Source organism: Homo sapiens, chromosome 20 (genome assembly GCF_000001405.40).
Source record: "Homo sapiens chromosome 20, GRCh38.p14 Primary Assembly".
Classification (NCBI taxonomy): Eukaryota; Metazoa; Chordata; class Mammalia; order Primates; family Hominidae; genus Homo; species Homo sapiens.
In genome coordinates, this window is record NC_000020.11 from 48,212,037 (window position 1) to 48,232,355 (window position 20,319).

Here is a 20,319-nt window from a genome sequence, read left to right on the forward strand (position 1 = left end):
TGGTGATGGTGGTGATGATGATGATGATGACGATGAATGGTTATTGAGTCCTGAAAACAGGCCAGGAGTTGCATTTCACTCTCTGAGCCACCTCATTTAACTGACCAAGGGTGATGAGGACTCAGGTGTCATTCCTGCACCCACCAGGCCTCCTGACAGGAGGGAAGGATTAGGACACACATTCCAAGCACCTGCTGTGTACCAGGCACATTTATACAGGTTGACTCCCTTAATTCTGTGGGATCTGCATTACCATTACCCCCATTCCACAGACCAGAAAACTGAGGCTGGGAGCGTGAGGTGACCGGCCTGGGGTCACACAGCCAGTGAGAGACAGAGGGTATCAGGCACTCAGGTGTGTTTGGTGCCAAATACCAGGCTCTGCCCGTATCTCCATGGGGCGTTTCCTCCAGGTGTGAGTGGGAAGAAGATTCCACAAGGCTGCTGCCCTGGGTGGGCTGTTGGCACAGAGAACAGGGCAACAGTTGGAGGCAGACGTCTGGGGTCCCTTCCCTGCACTCTCATAAGCTCCCCTGGACACACTCCACATCAGGATCCTGGGTCCCCTCGGAGGATGTCTGCTCACCTCCGGGAGGGGAAAGGAGCTGATGAGAATGGAGGGCCCCTCCCTGCAGTGCCCGGACCCCAGCCCCAGCTCCTCAAATCACAGATGGTGGCACTCCAGCACCTTGAGGATGCAAGTAGGAAGGGCATGGGGCTCTCGTTTCTCTCCTTTCCTCTCATCTCTCTCTCCTCTCCAGTCCTCTCCTCACCTCCACTGCTCAGCCCTAGGCCCCTGAGTGTTGGAATTAATGCTGACCTGTGCCATGCCAGGTGTTTCCTTGAATTATTCCTTGGCCTTTTGGTTGCAAGAACCCAAATCAAGGACTAGAACAAAACTAAGAACAAAGAAACAAAATGTCTGGTTTGCTGTTCCACATTCACAAGATGGCTTCAGGCACAGCTGCATCCAGGGGCTCTTACAGTGTCACAAGGGTGCCTCCTCTTGGTCTCTCAGCCCTGCTTCCCTCTGTGTCGGTGGAGTTCTCAGACTGGCCCTTCAGGTAGTGGCAAGGGGGTCCCCAGCAGCCAGGCTTCCATCCTCCAACTTAGCACCCTCAGCAGAAACTGGGCTCTTTCCCAGTGAGTCTGGCACAGCCCTGGGGTGACACTCATTGGCTCAGATAGAGTTATGGATCTTACTGGCCAGAGCCAGGTCACATGACATCCCTGTGCAGAGAAGGGGCTTGAACCACTTGGACTGAGAGTGGGAGGAGTTTGCACTGCGACCCTGTGGTGGGTGTCAGGGTGCAGGCTGCGGTATCTGTGGCCACAACATCAGTGTTGGGTCCCCAGGGATCAGTCCTGCCAGAGATGCTTTCTTGCTGCCTGCATAGCCTCCTCATCTGCTTCTTTGTCCTCCCAGAGGTTCAAGAGCCCCTGGTGACCCTGTAATCCATTCCTTTCTCTGCTCAAACCAGCCAGAGTGGAGCCTCTGGTTGCAAGAGGAGCGCTGATACTCTCATGGTAAAGCCTCATTTTACAGATGGGGAGGCTGCGCCCCAGGGAGGGGAAGTGACTCCCAGTGTCACAGGTCCCATGAGTGGTGGAGACAGGATTTGAACTGGGGACACCGGACAGCTGCGCCTGCTCCACTCCAGGCTGACGTGGTCTCCTTTCTGCAGGGCCAGGGCCAGGCCCTCAGCAAGGCTGCTGGGGAGTCTTGGGGACAGAGCTGCTGCCCTGGCTGGGGTGGCCTTGCAGGAGGGGCGGGGCCTGCTGTCCTTCCTGGGTAGGCTGAGTCTTGCTCTGTCCTGGCCAGTTTTAATAGCCTGAGGGCAGAGGGGAGGCAAAGGTGAACTCTAATGAGCCATTGATTTCTCAACAGGAAGCCGGCTGTGGCCCCAGCGCATTTCCTCCTAATGGATGGGAAAGAAAATGTGAGGACAGCGGTGCCCTGGCGCGGGGCCACCCTCGGGCACCTCGCTCATTCCCGCTGTCTGCACCTTCTGAGGCCCGAGGTGGACTTTTCGGGAGGCGGCCCAGGGTGAGAGAGTCTGTTTGTCCCATTCCAGCTCTCACCCCCAGCGTCCAGCAGGGTCTGGATCCCGCCATTTGCTCAGACGTTCAGGCTGCTTCTGTCCAGGGACGGGACCGTCACTCTGCTGTTCAAGGCAGACCTGAGAGCCACCTGGAGTCCCTCAGTGTGGCTTTTCCACTCTGACCCAAGGCAGGCCGCCTCTGCACACCTGCCCTGTCCACACTTAGGCAGAGCCCCCGTCACTTCTCCCTGGGTCACCGCAGATGCCTCTACCCGGGGCCTCTGCAGTTTACTGTCCCCATGGCATTGAGAACACTTTAAACCTGCAAGTCGGGCCATAATCTCTCTGCCTGCTGCCCCCACGGCTCCCCACCTGACTCAGAATGAGTGCCAGCGCCCCGGCCTTGGCCCTAGCCTGTGCCACATGACTGCCCTTTGTCCTCTGGGTCCTCCCCCAACCTCCCCCTGCTCTGTGACCTGCAGACTGACCAGGTGGCCCACACCACAGGGCTCCCTTGCCTCTGGCTCTGGATGTGTCCCCCCAGTGGGGAGTCCCATTGGGAGGTCAGCAGGGGTGGTGTTGGAGTTCACCTGGTTCCTTTTTTGGGGGGTTGCCTGGGGCTGGCTGTGCCCTGGCCTCCTTTCTATCCTCCACTACAGGACCGTCTTTCCTGCCCCAGGGCCTTTGCACTGGCTACTCCCATTGCCCGGACTGCTCCTTAACCCACTCCTCCGGCACTCAGTACACAGTGCAGCCAAGGGCTGCGTGAGGAAGTCTGGGGGAGGGAGGGGCAGGTTGTGCAAGAGAAACAGGAGCTTCCCTCAGGCCACATGGACCTGGGGCAGAATGGATCTCAGTGGAGATGTCAAGCTGGTGGCTGTCACTCAGAACCCAGAGCTTCGAGGAGGGGACTGAGCTGGAGGCAGATGTCAAGGGGGTGTCTTGGTTGATGTGTGTCCTGCAGTGTCACCTTGTCAGGGACACCTCTTCACCCCTCCCATCTACAGTGTGTGCTCCTGCTTCCCCCATGGATCCCTAAAGCAGCACATTATATTTTCATCACACAATCCTCATCATGCAATGATCATTCTTGGTGATTAGTGTTCAGCACTGCCTTTCGTCTTCCATTTTAACTACTGAATCTCAAGGGTCGAACACAATCCCAGCCTCATAATAAATGTTCAGTAGTGTTTGGCTAAATAAAATAATCAGTGAATACACAGTGTGCATTTAACACACACATACATTCATAGCCCTGTCCCACCTGTACACACTCACGCACCTGTGTGCATGAACACGCCCACCCTAGGATCCTTTCCTGATGGTGGGATTCTTGTGTCCAATGACGTGATACAGCTCCCTGGGAGGAGCTTCAAATGGTGCCCACCACAGAGCCAGTGCCCATCTTCACTGCCCCGTGGACACCTGTGAATTCGAACCAGACATTTACCTAGACTCTCTCTCCCAGCAGGAGCATCGCCAGACCTCTGTGGATTTGTGCTTTATCCTTGTTTCTCTGCTCCGGGTGTCTGGGGAGGATTTATGGAGGAAACAACATAATGAGACCTGAGTGACTTAGAGCTTGGGGAGGTCGACCACAGCATCTTCAGAGGGAAGGAAATTCAGATGGCAATCGTCCCAGTGGATGACTTCACGTGGTTTCCCTGGGGAAGCCCCGCCCCCAGCTGCTCCTTCCCGAGGCCCTACCTGCCCTTCCAGGCCCAGCCCAGTCCTGCCTCTCCCAGGAGTCTCCTCTGAGCTCCTGGGTCACAGGGAAGGGTCTCCTCACAGCTCCTGAGGCAGCTCTGCCCGCCCACCCACTGGGGTTCATTTCTGGCCAGAGCTCCTCCCTCCTCCCCAGGGCCTCCTGTGGGGTCCTCAGAGAGCTGCTTGTCCCCCAAAGCTGTCCTTGGTGTCTTCTTAGCTGAGGACGGAGTGTTAAACACATCACAGACAGGACCATAGTATCCCACACTACGCCATAAAAGGAGAGTTACAACTTTCAACCTCTGTAAATATTTAAAAGTAATGAAATTATACTCCAAGTCTTATAAGACATTAATTGTATCAAGGGTCTCTTGTATAAAAATATGCATGTATACATTAACACTATAAGTCTCTAGAACCACAGATATGACACAAAATTAACATAGGTGCTAGAATAAATATTACAAGGTTTATTCACACTGGCTTAGCTTCTCTTTCTAGAGCTTAGGAGGCTGTTTGGGGATAATTTATCTATTTCGACTGTGCCAAAAGCTGGTGCAAAGCCTGGGCTTTGGGGCTGTGGGTGTGCACACAGCTGGGGTCAAGGGGAGGTTTGATCTTCAGAGCTGAGCAACCTTGGGAGGAACACGAGCCCCTCTGCTGTCCGGGTTTCCTCATCTGTAAAATGGAATCATCCCAGGATTGTCTGGGGCTGCGGTGAAATCACACATGTGAATCATGTGAACAGTGGACTCAGGACCGAGTGACTTCTCATTAAATCAGAAGCTTTCATCGTCACTCGTTTACACAAATACCCCCTTCCCCCAAAAGCATCCCCAAAGCCCCAGGCTCTGCCAAACTCCCAGGCAAGGGTGGCTTGGTAGATCGTCATAAACAGCTAACATCATAAAAATATGCTCCTAGACACGTTTTTTAAAAGTGTGTATTGAGGCCGGGCACGGTGGCTCACGCCTATAATCCCAGCACTTTGGGAGGCCGAGGCGGGTGGATCACGAGGTCAGGAGATCGAGACCATCCTGGCTAACACGGTGAAACCCCGTCTCTACTAAAAATACAAAAAAATTAGCCGGGCGTGATGGTGGGCGCCTGTAGTCCCAGCTACTCGGGAGGCTGAGGCAAGAGAATGGCGTGAACCCGGGAGGCGGAGCTTGCAGTGAGCCGAGATAGCGCCACTGCACTCCAACCTGGGCGAAAGAGCGACTCCGTCTCAAAAAAAAAAAAAAAAAAAAAAAAAAAAAAGTGTGTATTGATTACACAATAGGCTCCAATATAATACAAAGTTACATAGAGCAGATTAAAAATACAACTCTCTCTGGGCCATAAATTTGACTTAAAACTTGCACATAAGCTGGAAAAGACACTAAACATTTCATTAATGCTTATCTGCTGGGCCTCAGAATTTAGCTCTGTGGATGTGTTGCTTTCTGCTGCGTGATCCGGTTCCCTGTAGACACGTCTGTGGCACCCCCGCCCCACTTTGATCTGTGTTTCGAAATTTATAATTTACCTCCCACCTCCTGATGTGGCGCTTTCCGTCTGCTCAGGACTCCAGTGAGGTCATCCATTCAGTACGTATTCATTGAGCTCCCACTCTGTGCCAAGCAAGATTCCAGGCATCGGGGCGTGAAACGCTAGAAAAAAGACACAGATGAAATATAGTCTAATCAGGTGAGATAAAGACAGGAGGCAGGAGGAAACGATGGGAGGAGGGAGTGAGGGAGGAAGGACAAGCGAATGCCAGTGAATTGCCGGTTTGCTCATGCACTGTCATTAGACCTCACAGCAACCCTACCGTCAGTGCAAGTGCCGTTATGTGCGCTATTTTACAGATATGGAGACTGAGGCCCAGAGAGGTTAAAGTAACTGCCCAGAGACACCCAAGTAGGAAGTGGTGGGGGCATGAATTGAACCCAGGTCCACCTGAATTCAAAGCCTCTCACGGGTCTGGAATGAAGGAAGGACGGAATGAATGAGTGAACGAATGAATGAATTCTGGAGTGAACGCATGAGCAAATACATATCACTGTCAAGTCCCTGCACATCAGGATTCCATGATAACTCTTCAAACCCAAGGAAGGGTCCAAGCCTCTCTCTACCTCTCCCTCTCCCCTACTTTCTCATTCCCAAGAATTATTTAGGATCCAGATCAAGAAACCTGGCCCTCTTCTGCTCCTCTCCCCGCTGCAGATGGCATTTTGCCTGGCCTGCTGGGGCAGCCCCCAAACCGCTCTGCCTGATTCCGCCTTCACTTTCCCCAGGCCATTCTTCACTTACTAACAGAGGACTCCTTGAAGACCTGAGGCCGACCGTGCCCTCCCCTGCTCAGAGCACTCCAGGACTCCCACCTCACTCAGAACAAAAGCCAAAGTCCTTACAGAGGACCCCAAGGCCCAGTGAGATTTGCCCACCACTTTCTACAACCCCAGCTCCTTCCCCTTGCCCCCTCGCCCTCTCAGCCACTGTGGCCTCCTCGCCCTTCCTCTGCCACACCAGACACTGGCTCGCCCACTGTGCAGTCCTGGCCTTGTTCTTTCCTCTGCCTGGAAGTTCCTTCCCCAGGCATCCTGCTGTCAGCTCCCCCAGTTCTTGGCTTAAGTGTCTCCTCCTCTGTGAAGCTCACCCTGACTACCTCATTTCTAATGGCAGCCTCACCCCCACATTTTGTACTTTATTTTTCTCTTAGCACTTGTGACCATCTGACATCTGCTTATGTATCTCAATGGCTGTCTGTCTCTTCCTCAAATACAATGTCAGCTCAAGAGGGCAGGGATTTTTATTTTCCAGTCCTCCCTGTATTCTCCCTTCCTAGAATCCCTTTCATATCAGTTAAAACAAAAATCAAACACCTGCCAGGTGTGGTGGCTCACGCCTGTAATTCCAGCACTTCGAGAGGCCGAGGCGGGCGGATCACCTGAGGTCAGGAGTTCGAGACCAGCCTGGCCAACATGGTGAAACCCCGTCTCTACTAAAAATACAAAAATTAGCTGGGAGTGGTGGCACGTGCCTGAATCCCAGCTACCTGGGAGGCTGAGGCAGGAGAATTGCTTGAACCCAGGAGGCGGAGGTTGCAGTGGGCTGAGATCGTGCCATTGTACTCCCGCCTGGGTGACAACAGTGAAACTCTGTCTCAAAAAAAAAAAAAAAAATCAAACACCAACAGCAAAAACCTTTCCTCAGCATGTTCTTGGTGCCCACCTAAGGGCCTGCCTCTGTCCAACATACACTCATGGGCATGGTGTGTCAACGAGGCCCAGGCTTGCTGAGGACCCAACGCTAATGGCATTTGCTAACGGCTCCAGGCCTCACGTCTCTATGTTTCACCTAATTTCTGTGAGCATCGTTTCTCTACATGATCGACCCACGCCTCATTCTGTAAGCCCCTCATTGGGATAAACTGGGTCCTCAGAACCTGGAAGTTCATTCAGGCAATGGAGGTCTTCTGCATCTCATCTGTCTGCAGAGTTCCCAGGACCGGGCTGGGAAGACAGGGGTTATTGTGTGTCCTGCTCACTCTGGACACTGAGCACACGGAGCTGGGGCTGGTCTACCGTGGGTGCTGGCTACATATTTAGGTTTGAAAGGGTCTAAAAGAGATAAACAGCAGCTGAGGACAGGTACCAGGATTGGGTGCAGGGGAGCTGTTGGAGCTGAGACATGAAGGATGAGACACAGCCACCAGAAGAAGATGTGGGAAACAGCGAGTGCCTAGGTCTCGGGGCAGGAGTGAGCAAGGGGAGCTGGAAGAACAGCAAGGAGGCCCCTGTGGTTGAGGGAGCCAGGGGAGAGTCTGAGAGGCTGCCAGGGGCCAGGTTATGCAAGATATTGGAAGCCATGAAAGGGAGCTTGGATTTTCTTCCAAGGGCAATAGGGAGCCATTGAGAATTTCCGAGCAGGAGGATCACATGATTTGATTTACATTTTTAAACGCTCATTTCAGCTGCCGGGATGAGCATGGATGGAGGGAAGCCTGATTGGACAGCAGAGACCACGGATGAAGCTGCTGTGACTATCCAGGAGGCCAAGATGGATGAGGGGCTCTGTCCAGTGAGGCATCTGGGGGGCTCAGGCACACTTTGGAGATAGGCTCGGCATTCCTGCTTGGCTGGATGGACTCTACGTTAAGGCTTAGGAACAGAGCCCCTGCTGACACTGAGGTATAGCCATGTCTGGTAATTCTCTTGTTCCTGGGACATATTCACTGAGCGACCTCACAGGAAGGAGAGGTGGTTGGACCTGTGCCCTCTCCAAAATGCCACCACGACACAGTCCTAATGGCCCCTAAACTCCAGACTTCCCAGATGCATCCAATGGGGTATTTGCCCCTGGGCCTTCCCGTGGGGTCTCCCTTCTCCTTCTCTGAGGAAGCTTCCACCTGGAGTTTGCAGAGGGCCATAAAGCTCATGTTTATTCTGCTGATTTATATAAATGACTTTCCTTTCACAAGCACGCCCATCAGCACTGAGCATGTCCACATTAATTGGGCTGGAGGAGGAAAATTAAGTGCTTCAATTTGCCATTTTTCAAGATGAAAAATGGGAAAGGAGAAAATCACTCAAGTGAGAGGGAAGGAGCTGTGAGTGTTGAAACCCACTTCGAGGAGAGGCAGAGGCTGCGCTGAGGGGAACAGACTCCTGTAGGGAGCAGCCCTGGACGAAGGAAGGAGGTGATGAGGTCAGAGCCCACAGCAGCCCCAGCAGCCCTTCATGGACCTCAAGTGTTTAAACATAGTAAAGCACATTTGCTCCTGGCTGTCCTGTAGGGTAGCATTTCCTGAACCCTGAGTCAGATGGGGTCCTAAAGTTGCAAGGACAGAAAATCCAACCCCAACAGACTTAAGCAAAAAGGGAATAGATAGCTTTGGGAGGCCGAGGAGGGTGGATCACTTGAGGTTAGGAGTTCAAGACCAGCTTGGTCAATGTGGCAAAACCCTGTCTCTACCAAAAATACAAAAATTAGCTTGGCATGGTGGTGTGCAGCTGTAATCCCAGCTACTCGGGAGGCCAAGGCAGGAGAATCGCTTGAACCTAGGGGTGGGGGCTGCAATGAGCCAAGATCATGTCATTGCACTCCAGCCTGGGTTACAGAGTGAGACTCCATCTCAAAAAAAAAAAAAAAAAAAAAAAAAGGAAAAGGAATAATGGACTCAAAGAACTGAAAAGCTTTGAGGGTTAGTCCAGTGTCAGGTAGAGCTTGATCTAGGGACCCAGACACTTTCTCCCACCCCTCCAGGGCTGCTGTCTCCTCTTCCTTTGCTTGTGGAGAGATTCCACCTACCAGCTCAGCAGCCCCAGGGAAAGACCTTCTCTTCCTGGCGGCCCCTGAGGACTTCGCAGGATTCACCTGATTGGACGCGACTTGCCATGTGTCCATCTCTGATCTAAACACTGGGGTCAAGGTGGCAGGATTTGCTCACAGCCAGGGCCACTCCCTCAGGTGACTTGGTACGAGTAAGAAAGGGATGCCCCTTCCTTTCAGGAGAAGCAGCCTGTGCCAGGACATAAGTCTGTACCTGGTGATTCTGAATATGCCAGTTCACAGACCTGGATCTTGTCCCTTGCATGGAGCTGGGTGTGGGGCCCACCCACCTACAGCACATGAACCAAGAGTGGAGGATGGAGGTTTCCCAAAGGACAATCAAGGTGCTGTGCCCAGGAGGCAGAGCTCATTCATTCATTGCCTGTTTAGAAAATGCTTACTATGTGCAGTGAAGAAAGAGCTTAGAGCCTCGTTTGGGGATTGTCTTCATCTGTTTTCTGCTGTTATTACAGAATACTACAGATTGGGTGATTTAATAGAAAAGAGGCCAGGCACAGTAGCTCATACCTGTAGTTCCAGCATGTTGTGGAGCGGACACAGGTGGATCACTTGAGCTCAGAACTTTGAGACCAACCTGGGCAACATGGAAAAACCCTTTCTCTACAAAAAAAAAAAAAAAAAAAAAAAAATTAGCTGGGTGTGGTGGCATGTGCCTGTAGTCCGAGCTACTCGGAAGGCTGAGATGGGAGGATTGCCTGAGCCTAGGAGGTTGAGGCTGCAGTGAGCCGAGATCATGCCACTGCACTCCAGCCTGGGCAACAGAGCAAGACCCTGTCTCAAGAAGAAAAAAAAGAAAAAAGAAAAGAGATGTATTTGGCTCACAGATCACCACTCTGGAGGCTGGGAAGTCCAAGACTGAGGGGCTGCCTCTGGTGAGGGGCCTACCTGCTGCATCAGAACATGGTGGAAGGCATCATACGGTGAGGAAGCACACGCATGAGACAGAGAGAAAAAGGGGCTGGACTCTGGCAGTAACTCAGCCTTTCTGTGATAACAGCATCAATCCATTTGTGAGGGCAAATCCCTCATGACCTAGTCACTTCTTAAGGGTCTCACCTCTTAATACTATCAGAATAACAATTAAATTTCTTTTTTTTTTTTTTTTTTGAGACAAGGTCTCACTCTGTTGCCCAGGCTGGAGTGCAGTGGCACAATCTCTACTCACTGTAACTTTGACCTCCTAGGCTCAAGCAATCCTCCCACCTCAGGGTCCCAAGTATCAGGGACCCACAGGTGTGTGCCATCATGCTCGGCCAATTTTTTAACTTTTTAAAAGAGACAGGGTCTCACTATATTGCCTAGGTTGGTCTGGAACTCCTGGGCTCCCACCTGGAGCTCCTCCCACCTTGGCCTCCCAAAGTGCTGGAATCACAGGCATGAGCCACTGCACCCAGCTGGCAATTAAATTTCAACATGAGTTTTGACAGGGATATCCAAAACACAGCAGGGGTATAGACAAAAATAATCAATGAACTTATTAGTTATATAATATTCACGACAGCAGTGTTGTGGAGAAACGTAAAGCAGGACGGGAGGACAGGGCATGCAGTGTCAGATGGGGTGGCCTGGGAGGCCTCACAGACAAGGTGACATTTGAGCAAAACTTGAAGGAGATAAGTCCTGTGGATGTTTCAGAAAATAGAAATCCCAGAAGAAAAGCAGGTGCAAAGGTCCTGGGGCCGAAGATGAGTTGGCCCAAGCCAGTGTGACGGGGCAGATCCTGCAGGCCCTTGTGGGCCATTAGAAGGAATTTGACTTCTGCTTTATCTGCCATGAAAAGCCCCTGGGGGTTCTGAGAAGAAAAGAGACATGATCCGTGTTCTAATCGAATTGCTCAGATTGCTGTATGAGATTAGTTTGTCATGGGGAGGGTGGAAGCAGGAGGTCAGTGAGGAGGGGACTGCAATTGTCCAGGAGACAGGGGACATGGCTCTGGACTTGGGTGGTGGCAATGGTAATGAGAAGCAGTTGGATCCTGGATTTAATCAGGAAGCAGACCATAAAGGGTTTGTATCCCGGGTAGGCAAAGGTAGCAAATGGCCCCTACAAGTGGTGAACTAACTAGATACTGATCAAAAGCAGGCAATCTCTCTGTTTAAAGGTGACCCATTTCCTGTATACTCGTCTCCTCCCTCATGTCCCTCAGGTGTCATCAGGGAGTTCCGTGCTCCTTGTCTAGAGCCACCTGACTGTGGATAGCTCAGCCAATTGGGTGGGACCTGTGTGATCCATGGAAAGAGATGGATGTTGTGAGCTGGGTGCTGAGGCTCCTCGTGGTACCCTGAACCCAGAGCCATGCTGGAGGCAGGGAAGTGGCACAGCTCCGCTCCTCCTGGACAAGATGCTTAGCAGTCCCTGGTCCCCAGATGCAGAGGACAGAGCCTTCATAAAGCAGCCTTCTCTTCTGTGGATCAGCCTGGTCCCACCTTTTAGGTGACCCAAGGGAAAACTCTGAGCTCTGTTAGGATTCTTGCAAAAACTCAATTCAAACAGACTTAAGTGAAACAAGAAAACCTCCCAGCCCATGTAATGAAGTCAGGCGTATTGGGCTTCTGACCCAGCTGGCTCCAGGGCTCCAACAATCTGGCCACGACGCAGTCTGTCTCCACTTCTGGGCTCCGCTGTCCTCTGTGTTGGCTTCACTCCCAAGTAGGTAGTCTCCACAGGGGACCATGACGACCGCCGGCAGCTCTTGGCTTCCATCCCCCAGCTCAGCAGTCCCGGAGCACAGAGAACGTCTCTTTCCCAGAGTCAGCAAAGCCCCAGGGCATGCTCCCATTGGCCCATTGTGGTCACATGTCTGTGACAGGCCACAGAACGGCCCCCACGAAAGGTGTCCACGTCAAATACCTGGAACCTGCGGTGCCCACGTAGGGCAAAGATGTGGCTAAGCTAAGGATCTTGAGACGAGGACATGATTCTGGATTATTTCGAGTGGACCCTAAATACTGTCATGGGTCCTTATTAGAGGGAAGAGGAGAAGACAGAGGAGGAGGCAATGTGGCCACAGTAGCAGAGACTGGAGCATTGTGGCCACAAGCCAAGGAATGCCCGCAGCCACCTGAAGCTGGAAAAGGCAAAGAACAGAGAGGCAAAGTGGGGCAAAGTCCCCACCCCCTGAGCCTCCAGAGAGAGCCGTGGCCACCCTGACTTCAGGTTTCCCACCTTAGGGCTGTGAGATGTGAATTTCTTTGTTGTGGGCTGCACCGTTTGTGGTAATTTGTCATAGTGGCCACAGGAAACAATGTCCCTCCCACTTCCAATCAGAGTCCAGTAGGATGGAGCGTTCTGTATGGTCTCCCTGGGGTCACACATCCCCCCAGCCCAGTGCTGGGTCAGCCCCACCCGGTCCACACCACGGCTCAGCATGAGGCTGACCAAGTCCATAAGGGAAGGTCAAAGGTGGGCGGGAAGGACACATCCAGACAGAAATCATGGATGCTGCCGTGGCTCCTTCTCCCAGAGCAGGAAACTGAATCTGAGAGGTGGGAGATACTTCACCAGGGTCATGGAGCTCAAACTGGCCAGGAAAAGCTTTCAGCCCAGGGCTTCACGCCCAGCTCCAGGGCAGGGCATATCCAATCTTCCATCTGTAACACCCTGAGAAGTTCCCAGGAGGCACTGAGTCATGGGTGAGGCCTGTCTCGGGGCCATACCCCTTGTCTCAATAAGATCAGCCTCATATGTATTCCCCAAAAGCAATCTGTGTAATAAGGAGCAGCCCAGGAGGCCCTTCTCTCCACACCCCTCATTCTCCAAGGGCGGCTGACACCCATTAGTGCTCCATCCCCCAGTTTGGAAAACACAAATGTGCAGCGTGGAATGCAACTCACTGAGCAGGCTGCCCTCCTCCTCCCCGACTAGACTGAGAGGACTGCAGTGGCATGGGGGGTGGTGCTGGGGGAGGAGGAAGTGGGGGAGAGTGGGAGGGACCCTGCCAGGAGGGCTCAGCTTCCCTCTGTTCTCTGCCAGGGCCCCGAGGTTCCCCTCTATCATGCTGGGGTGCAAATTCACACATCCCCACCAATGTGCCTGTGTGCATGCCCAAGCACACAGCCACAGGGACACTGGTAGACATACACATGTGAGCACAAACCCACATGTGTGTGCAAAGCCTGTCTACAACACATGCCTGTACCTGCACACACGTACACTCCACCACATACGTACACACGCAGAGCCTTTCCCGCCATCTCACCCACAGGCGCACACCCCCTGAAACAGCTGAATGCAAATGCCCCACTCTCTACACAGACCCCACAGACACAGGCCACATCACTCATTCCGAGACCAGACAGCCTGGGTCCAACCCCCAGCTTCACCACTTCTGAACCTGTGATTTGGGTCACGTGGTTTAACCCTTGTGAGCCTCAGTTTCCTCCAACCTAAGAAATAATCTCAGATAAAGCCGTCATGGGGGTTGCGTGAGTTAATGCACGGAAAGTGCTTAGAAGAATGGCTGGCAAGCAACAGGCATGAGACAAATATGAGCCCCAAGCACACAGCCCCAGTGCATGTCCACACGCTTCCACATATGCACACGTGGGCACCCACATGCATGCACCTGCGTGGATACCTGGCCCAGGCACCACACACGGAGATGAACATTCACATGTGTACGAATAGGTTAGGCCCCCAAACAGTGTACTGTGCCTGTGCATAGTACTCGTGCATCAGCATCCCCACCCACCCACCCACAGATCTGTGCCCGTACGTATATGTCCCCACCTGCACACACACCCCTCCTGTTCTCAGACATGGCCAACTCCTTCATCCCCTCCCTCTTGGCCCAATCACAGTGTCTTTCAGATCTGGGCCTTATCAGAAGCCCCAGTCAGAGGAAGGTGGCTACTCCTGGCTGAGCTCATGAAGGACAGGCTCCCCTCATCCAGTCCCAACACCATCACTCTGAGGAACTTTCTCGGATGCTCTTTGTGGACTCAGAGACTCATGGAACATTTGTGCTGGAAGGGCCCTTACCTGATCAGGTCTCGAGTTGTAAAGATGGGGAGACTGTGCCCCAGGGAGGGGCACCCCCTTGTCCATGGTCACCCAGGGTGCAAGTGCCCAGAACCCACCTGGCAGCCACTGGGCTGGGTCTCCAGAAGGTGTCAAGTGAAACTTAACGGGTTGATGATTGGAGTGACTGGGAGACGGTGCTGTCCCATCAATGCCCCCATGATGCGGGGAGGAAATTGAGGCTCTGAGAGGCTCTCACTCACCCACCCAGGACTCAAACCCAGCTGCACTACTTTCTATTTCAAGAAAGCATGGCAGGGCCTCCCCTGTCCCTGCAGGCTGTCTGGACATCGGCAAGAGATAGGTGGCTGAGGCAGTGTGGGTGGTGGGGTGAGAAGCCAGGGCCATCCCCAGGCCTGGGCATTATGCTGGGGACATCACCACACCTGCAGGGCCAGAAGTGAGAGCAGCAGTCGGCCTCAAATCCAGGTCTGAGAGCTGGAATGAGACCAAATTACGCCTGAGCAGGGCTTCCCCAGGGCAGGAAGGTGGTGGTGCTGGGGTCAACGGCAGGCCCTGGGGGCTCAGATATTTTAGCTGAGAGTATGTGTGTACTGGTGTGCAAATGTGTGCGTGTGGAGGGTATAATGGGCTGGTGGGGTCCTGGGTTGTGTTCGAAATGTCTGTATGTGAGTAGGGTACAGATATTGTATGACCAACCACAGTGTGTGCACAGGGATTGAATGAGGCTTCTAATGTTGACATGCTTTATTTTCCTGTCGCATACCATTCCCTGCGGCATTTACTTTTCCAGACCTGCACAATCTCCAAGGCTGGTGAAATGCCACCAACTAGATATTCACCAAGGCCTGCCTGATGCCAGGCTCTTGGGGAAAGAGAATTAATTCTCCTTCACTGTTCACTGTCTGGGTCAACTCCTCATGGCCAACTGCACAAGAAAGAACAAGGGTCTACAGTCTCCTGCCCTGTTTCCTGCCTCCATCTCCTGCTTAAGCACCTTCTCACCCCAAGAATAGATAGCCACAAGGCATGAAGCTCAACAGCTCCAAAGAGATTTGAGCAAGCAGGACTGAAGACTCCCTATTTCACATACATTTCAATAATAATGATAATTAAATAGCTACCATTTATTGAGGCCGGGCACAGTGGCTCATGCCTGTAATCCCAGCACTTTGGGAGGCCAAGGTGGGTGGATCACTGGAGGTCAGGAGTTCAAGACCAGCCTGGCCAACATGGTGAAACCCTGTCTCTACTAAAAATACAAAAATTAGCCTGGCATGGTGGCATGTGCCTGTAGTCCCAGCTACTTAGGAGGCTGAGTCAGGAGCATCGCTTGAACCCTGGAGGCAGAAGTTGCAGTGAGCTGAAATCGTGCCACTGCACTCCAGCCTGGGTGACAGAGTGAGATTCCATCTCAAAAAAGAAAAGAAAAGAAAAGAAAAGCTACCATTGATTGAGCGATTACCACACTCTGGGCACTGTTGCAACTGCCTTAGCATACCTGACATCACTCAACTTCTTTGAAGCTCCATTCACCTGTCATTGTTCCCACCCACCACTTACAGATGAGGAAACTGAGACACAAGGGGGTGAGTGACTGGCCCACGTTGTGAGAGGTAGAGGCAGGGTTTAAATTTACACAGACCGACTCCAGGTTAAAATTATCTTCAAATTCTTACGCAAGAGCCCATGTTTAAGAACAGCCAAGGAGACCAGGTGCGGTGGCTCACGCCTGTAATCCCAGCACTTTGGGAGGTGGAGGTGGGCAGATCACCTGAGGTCAGGAGTTCGAGACCAGCTTGGCCAACATGTCGAAACCCCGTCTCTACTAAAAATACAAAAATTAGTGAGGTGTGGTGGCATACGCCTGTAATCCCAGCTACTCAGGAGGCTGAGGCGGGAGAATCGCTTGAACCCAGGAGGCAGAGGTTACAGTGGGCCGAGTTGCCAAGCACTCCAGCACGGGCAACAAAAGCAGAAACTCCATCTCAAAAAAAAAAAAAGAACAGCCAAAAAAAAAACAAGATGGAATCAACTAGGGGCGGGACCACTGGTCTTAAGTGATTTCAGAGCCACTGTAAGCAAATCCATACGGTCCTGATGTTGGAACAATCAAACAGAACCAAGCATAGCAAAATATAACTCCAGAATAAAGTCCCAGGAAAGATGAAACATTAATATTCTTGCCAGACAGTGGGCTATACGGGGGTGATGAAGCAGGGTCCTCTCCCTTGAGGGGTGCCCGGTCCAGGCAGACAAGCCTGTCAACGGATCATCTCAATATGGGTGCTATGTGCTAATCGGGTGGTCTGTGGAGTGTTAAAGCCTGGATGTTAAAAACTGCATCCTCCCTGAGGTCAGGGACCATGGCTGTATCCTTCAAGTCTAGCCATGGGCCATGCCCACCTGGCACTGAGGACACATCGGTGGAAGCACAGCCTGGCGCAGAAGGAGTCAGTGTAGAAGACAGACTCCTGGATTAGTTTCTAACTGGAGGACATGGGGAAAGTTATTCCACTTCTCTGTGTCTGTTACTTCATTTTTAAGATAAAAAATGCTGGTAAATAGAATCTGCCTCAAATAGCTATTAGGGTGTTTAATGACATAATAAATTGATTATTCCTGCTAGAGTAGTAAGAACAACTCCATAAAAACCAGTCATTATTATAATTGTTGTTGTTTCTAACATTATCATAAATTAATGATCAGGATATGACTGCCCCAGAATAATAACATTGACTTCTTCTGGAGCACTGGGGACTGGGGGCCCCATCCTGAGACACCATGATGCTTTTCCCAGCCTGCTTGGCAGACTTCAACCTATTTTGCAGACAGGAGAATGGAAGTGAAGTGGCTCGCGACCCACAGAGGCAGAGGTGGAAATGCAGGAGGTGAGGAATGACTTTAACGCAACATCCTGGGAGAGACAGGAAGAAAAACACAGAAAAAGCTCACAGCGTGGCCTCCTGCAGGGGCCTCCAGCCCAGCCATATTGGTGGCACATAAGACTTCCAGGGGGGCCTGAATTTGCACCCTTCACCCTCGTTTTTCTAGAGAAGCAGGGAATGTTGTCTTGGGGATGAGGACCAGTCCTTTAAGCAGCTTAAATCCCCATCCCTCACCTGATGGGCCCACAGGGACACCACAGTGTCTACTATGATCTGTTACCTGCACAAGGTCGTAGTCTTTTCAGGAAGATGAATCAAATGACAGGATTTGCAGTGAGCAGCTCTGTGTCCACCAGTGGCCACCACTTCTGCACCCCAAGGCCAGGTCAGGTCTCTTCTTCCCAGACCTTTCTGGAAAATGGGCTGCCTGGTCTAGAGTGATGCTCCCCATCCCCACCCCACCATGTCTGAGATCCCAGCTGTATCGGTGTGTTCTCACGCTGCTAATAAAGACACACCCGAGACTGGGTAATTTATAAAGGAAAGAGGTTTAATGGACTCACAGTTTCACATGGCTGGGGAGGCCTGACAATCATGGCGGAAGGCAAATGAGGAACAAAGTCACATCTTACATGGCAGCAGGCAAGAGGGCATGTGCAGGGGAACTCCCCTTTACAAAACCATCAGATCTCGTGAGACGTATTCACTGTCACTAAAACAGCATGGAAAAGACACATCCCCATGATTCAGTTACCTCCCACTGGGTCCCTCCCATGACATGTGAGATTTGGGTGGGGACACAGAGCCAAACCATATCCCCAGCCCCTCCTCCACACTGTACTTCAGGCCTCCCCACCCACCTTGTTCTGGTTCTCTGAGTCCCTGCTTTGCCAGATTGTTTTAATCAGATCTTGCAGATAATGTTTTCCACTTATCACCATCTTAGCTCTCAACTTATCCTTACAGTCTTGGTTAAGACCCTTTTTGTCCAACATCTTGGACACTTGCCGTCAACTCAGATGGGGATGCTTGCAGGGGAGCAGGTTCAGAGTGGGGAATATCGGAGCTCAGTTGGGGACATGCTGTTTGCTGTGCCCATAAATCTTCCCAGTTGGAGGTTTAATTCTGGAGAAACAGAGAGAGAATGCCTGGCCTTTTGGGGAGGCAGGCGAGCACCAGCACCTCCCAAACTCACTGTGTCCCAGGCCACTGTGGGGTAGGAGAGGAGAGGCTTACTGTATAACCCTCACTCTACTGAAGCTTCCCTAGAGCTGAGCGGCAGTGCTTCCCTCCCCTGGCCCGCCTCCTTCTCATCTTTACTCTTCCACTGTGTGTCTGCAAACTGCACAGCTTGTTAGTGAGATACGCTAATAAACCACCATGTCATCACATTAGCAGTTTCCAGCTGAGAATCTCCCTTCCTGCTCGGGGTGGCAGACACCCAAACACAGCCCCATCATCAGGCTGTTTGCACAGCTAATTACTTTTTTCCAACATGGAGGCGAGAGACTTCCTGAGGCTTCCACTCACTCAGAATTGCTGTTGTGGATTTCAGAATGGTCCCCCTGCCAGGCTTGTCTGGATGTCCCAAAGACTTTAGGGAGTAGCCAGATTCTGCCCTCTCATTGGATAGAACGGGAGGCCGAGGTCCACAGAGGGGCTGACTGCTCCCATTTTGCAGATGAGGAAACTCAGGCACAGAGAGGTAGAGTGGTGATGCATCCAAAGCAGCTCATGGCTGGGGACAAGAGGCCAGGCCTCCTATTTCCCACAACAGGGCTCTTCCTGGGGTCCATCTTACCTCTTCCCAGCTAGGTGGAGAGGCCTTTCTCCCCAGTGTAGCGGGGTGGTCAAAGAGGAACAGGACTTTGTGTGTGGCCACTGGCACTTAGAGAGGAAGGGCTCACTTCTTGCCTCATCTACTGAGTCCTGACCACCCTTGCACCCTCCCCAGGTCTTCCTTTAGGAGGTTCTCTTTTTCCAGGGCTCTCCCAGGTTGCCTGTGGGCTGCACCTCCCAGGTCACCTCTTGCTTCCCCATAGCCCAGTCTTCTTGGCTAACACTCTCCCCACGTGCTTCTGTAGGGCTGCCCACACACACCTGGGGTTGACAGGTGTCCAGACCTGGCCACCTCCAGGCATGATGACTGCTCAGACACAGGCATGTGCCCAGGTTGGTCCAATGCAAACATGCTGGGTGCCTCCACTGGAATGAGGGGGAAAGAGAGGCACTCTTTCCCTAGATCCGCTGGCTCTGTGAGAGTGAAGCAAGCCTAGAGCTTGGATGGGCAGAGTGGCATCACTCAGGGAGCCTGCTTGGGAAGCCACCCCAGGTAAGAGCACTACCTGCCATGACACTTGGGTAGAAATGACAGAAAACTCACTGAAATGGCTTAACAGAAAAAGAGAACTCATATTACCTCACATAAAGCTCCACTCCATCCTGGTACTCTGAGAGTTTTGGCAGGACTCTCCCACCCCAACTCTGGGCTCACCTTGCCTCTCTGTGAGCTTCACTCCGGCCTGATGTTTTCCTGGAGGTGGCAGGGAAGGCCTCCCATTGCGGTCACCCAAGCAGAAGGAGGACACATCTTTCCCAACACTCACGCCAATGTCCTGGGGTTGACTCCATCTGCACCAGTTCGAGTCCCCTGTGCAACCCTGAGCCAATCACTGTAGTCAAGGGAAGAGGATGACCTGATTGGTCATATCTTGATCATGTGATGACTGGGGCCACCAATGACTTTGCACTGCCTTCTGCCCCCATGATTCACCAAGAGCAAGTAGGTTGCTAAGCAACCAGCTCCAGCTCTTTTGTGGCACTTGGGACTGGGAAAGCCACCCCAGGGTCCTGCATGTTGAATTACAGGGAAAGTCACACCAGTGTCCTGCATGTTGAATTACAGGGAAAGTCACACCAGGGTTCTGCATGTTGAATTACAGGGAAAGTCACACAGGGGTCCTGCATGTTGAATTATAGGGAAAGTCACTCCAGGGTCCTGCATGTTGAATTACAGGGAAAGTCACGCCAAGGTCCTGCATGTTGAATTATCAGGAAAGTCACACAGTGGTCCTGCATGTTGAATTACAGGGAAAGTCACGCCAAGGTCCTGAATGTTGAATTACTCAGTACTTGGATGTCAGCCGGCTGTGGTTCCTTGGAGGAGAAGACAGCAGGGTGATTTTGGTTAATCTTCCCAGTGACACTTACTCACTAAGAGACCTTGGGCAAATTACTCCCTTCTCTCTTATGTAAAATGAAGATAATAATAGGACCTGCTTCAGGGGGTTGATTGAGGATCAAACGGTGTAATTTGTGATGGTGACTTGGAAGAATGCCTCACCCACAGCGGGGCTCAGTTAAGA

At 52.1% G+C, this 20,319-nt stretch overlaps 2 annotated features.

Annotated features, from left to right (window-relative positions):
- Positions 1,284-2,108: an enhancer, noted in NCBI's record as "NANOG-H3K4me1 hESC enhancer chr20:46842063-46842887 (GRCh37/hg19 assembly coordinates)". NCBI's record gives its function as "activates a minimal SCP1, AML or CMV promoter by ChIP-STARR-seq in naive H9 embryonic stem cells {active_cell/tissue: H9 hESC(naive)}" and the evidence as "EXISTENCE:reporter gene assay evidence [ECO:0000049][PMID:30033119]".
- Positions 16,404-16,533: a silencer, noted in NCBI's record as "fragment chr20:46857183-46857312 (GRCh37/hg19 assembly coordinates)". NCBI's record gives its function as "represses an EF-1alpha promoter that drives an FKBP-Casp9 reporter gene in an ReSE screen in phorbol 12-myristate 13-acetate-treated (for megakaryocytic differentiation) K562 erythroleukemia cells {active_cell/tissue: K562(+PMA)}" and the evidence as "EXISTENCE:reporter gene assay evidence [ECO:0000049][PMID:32094911]".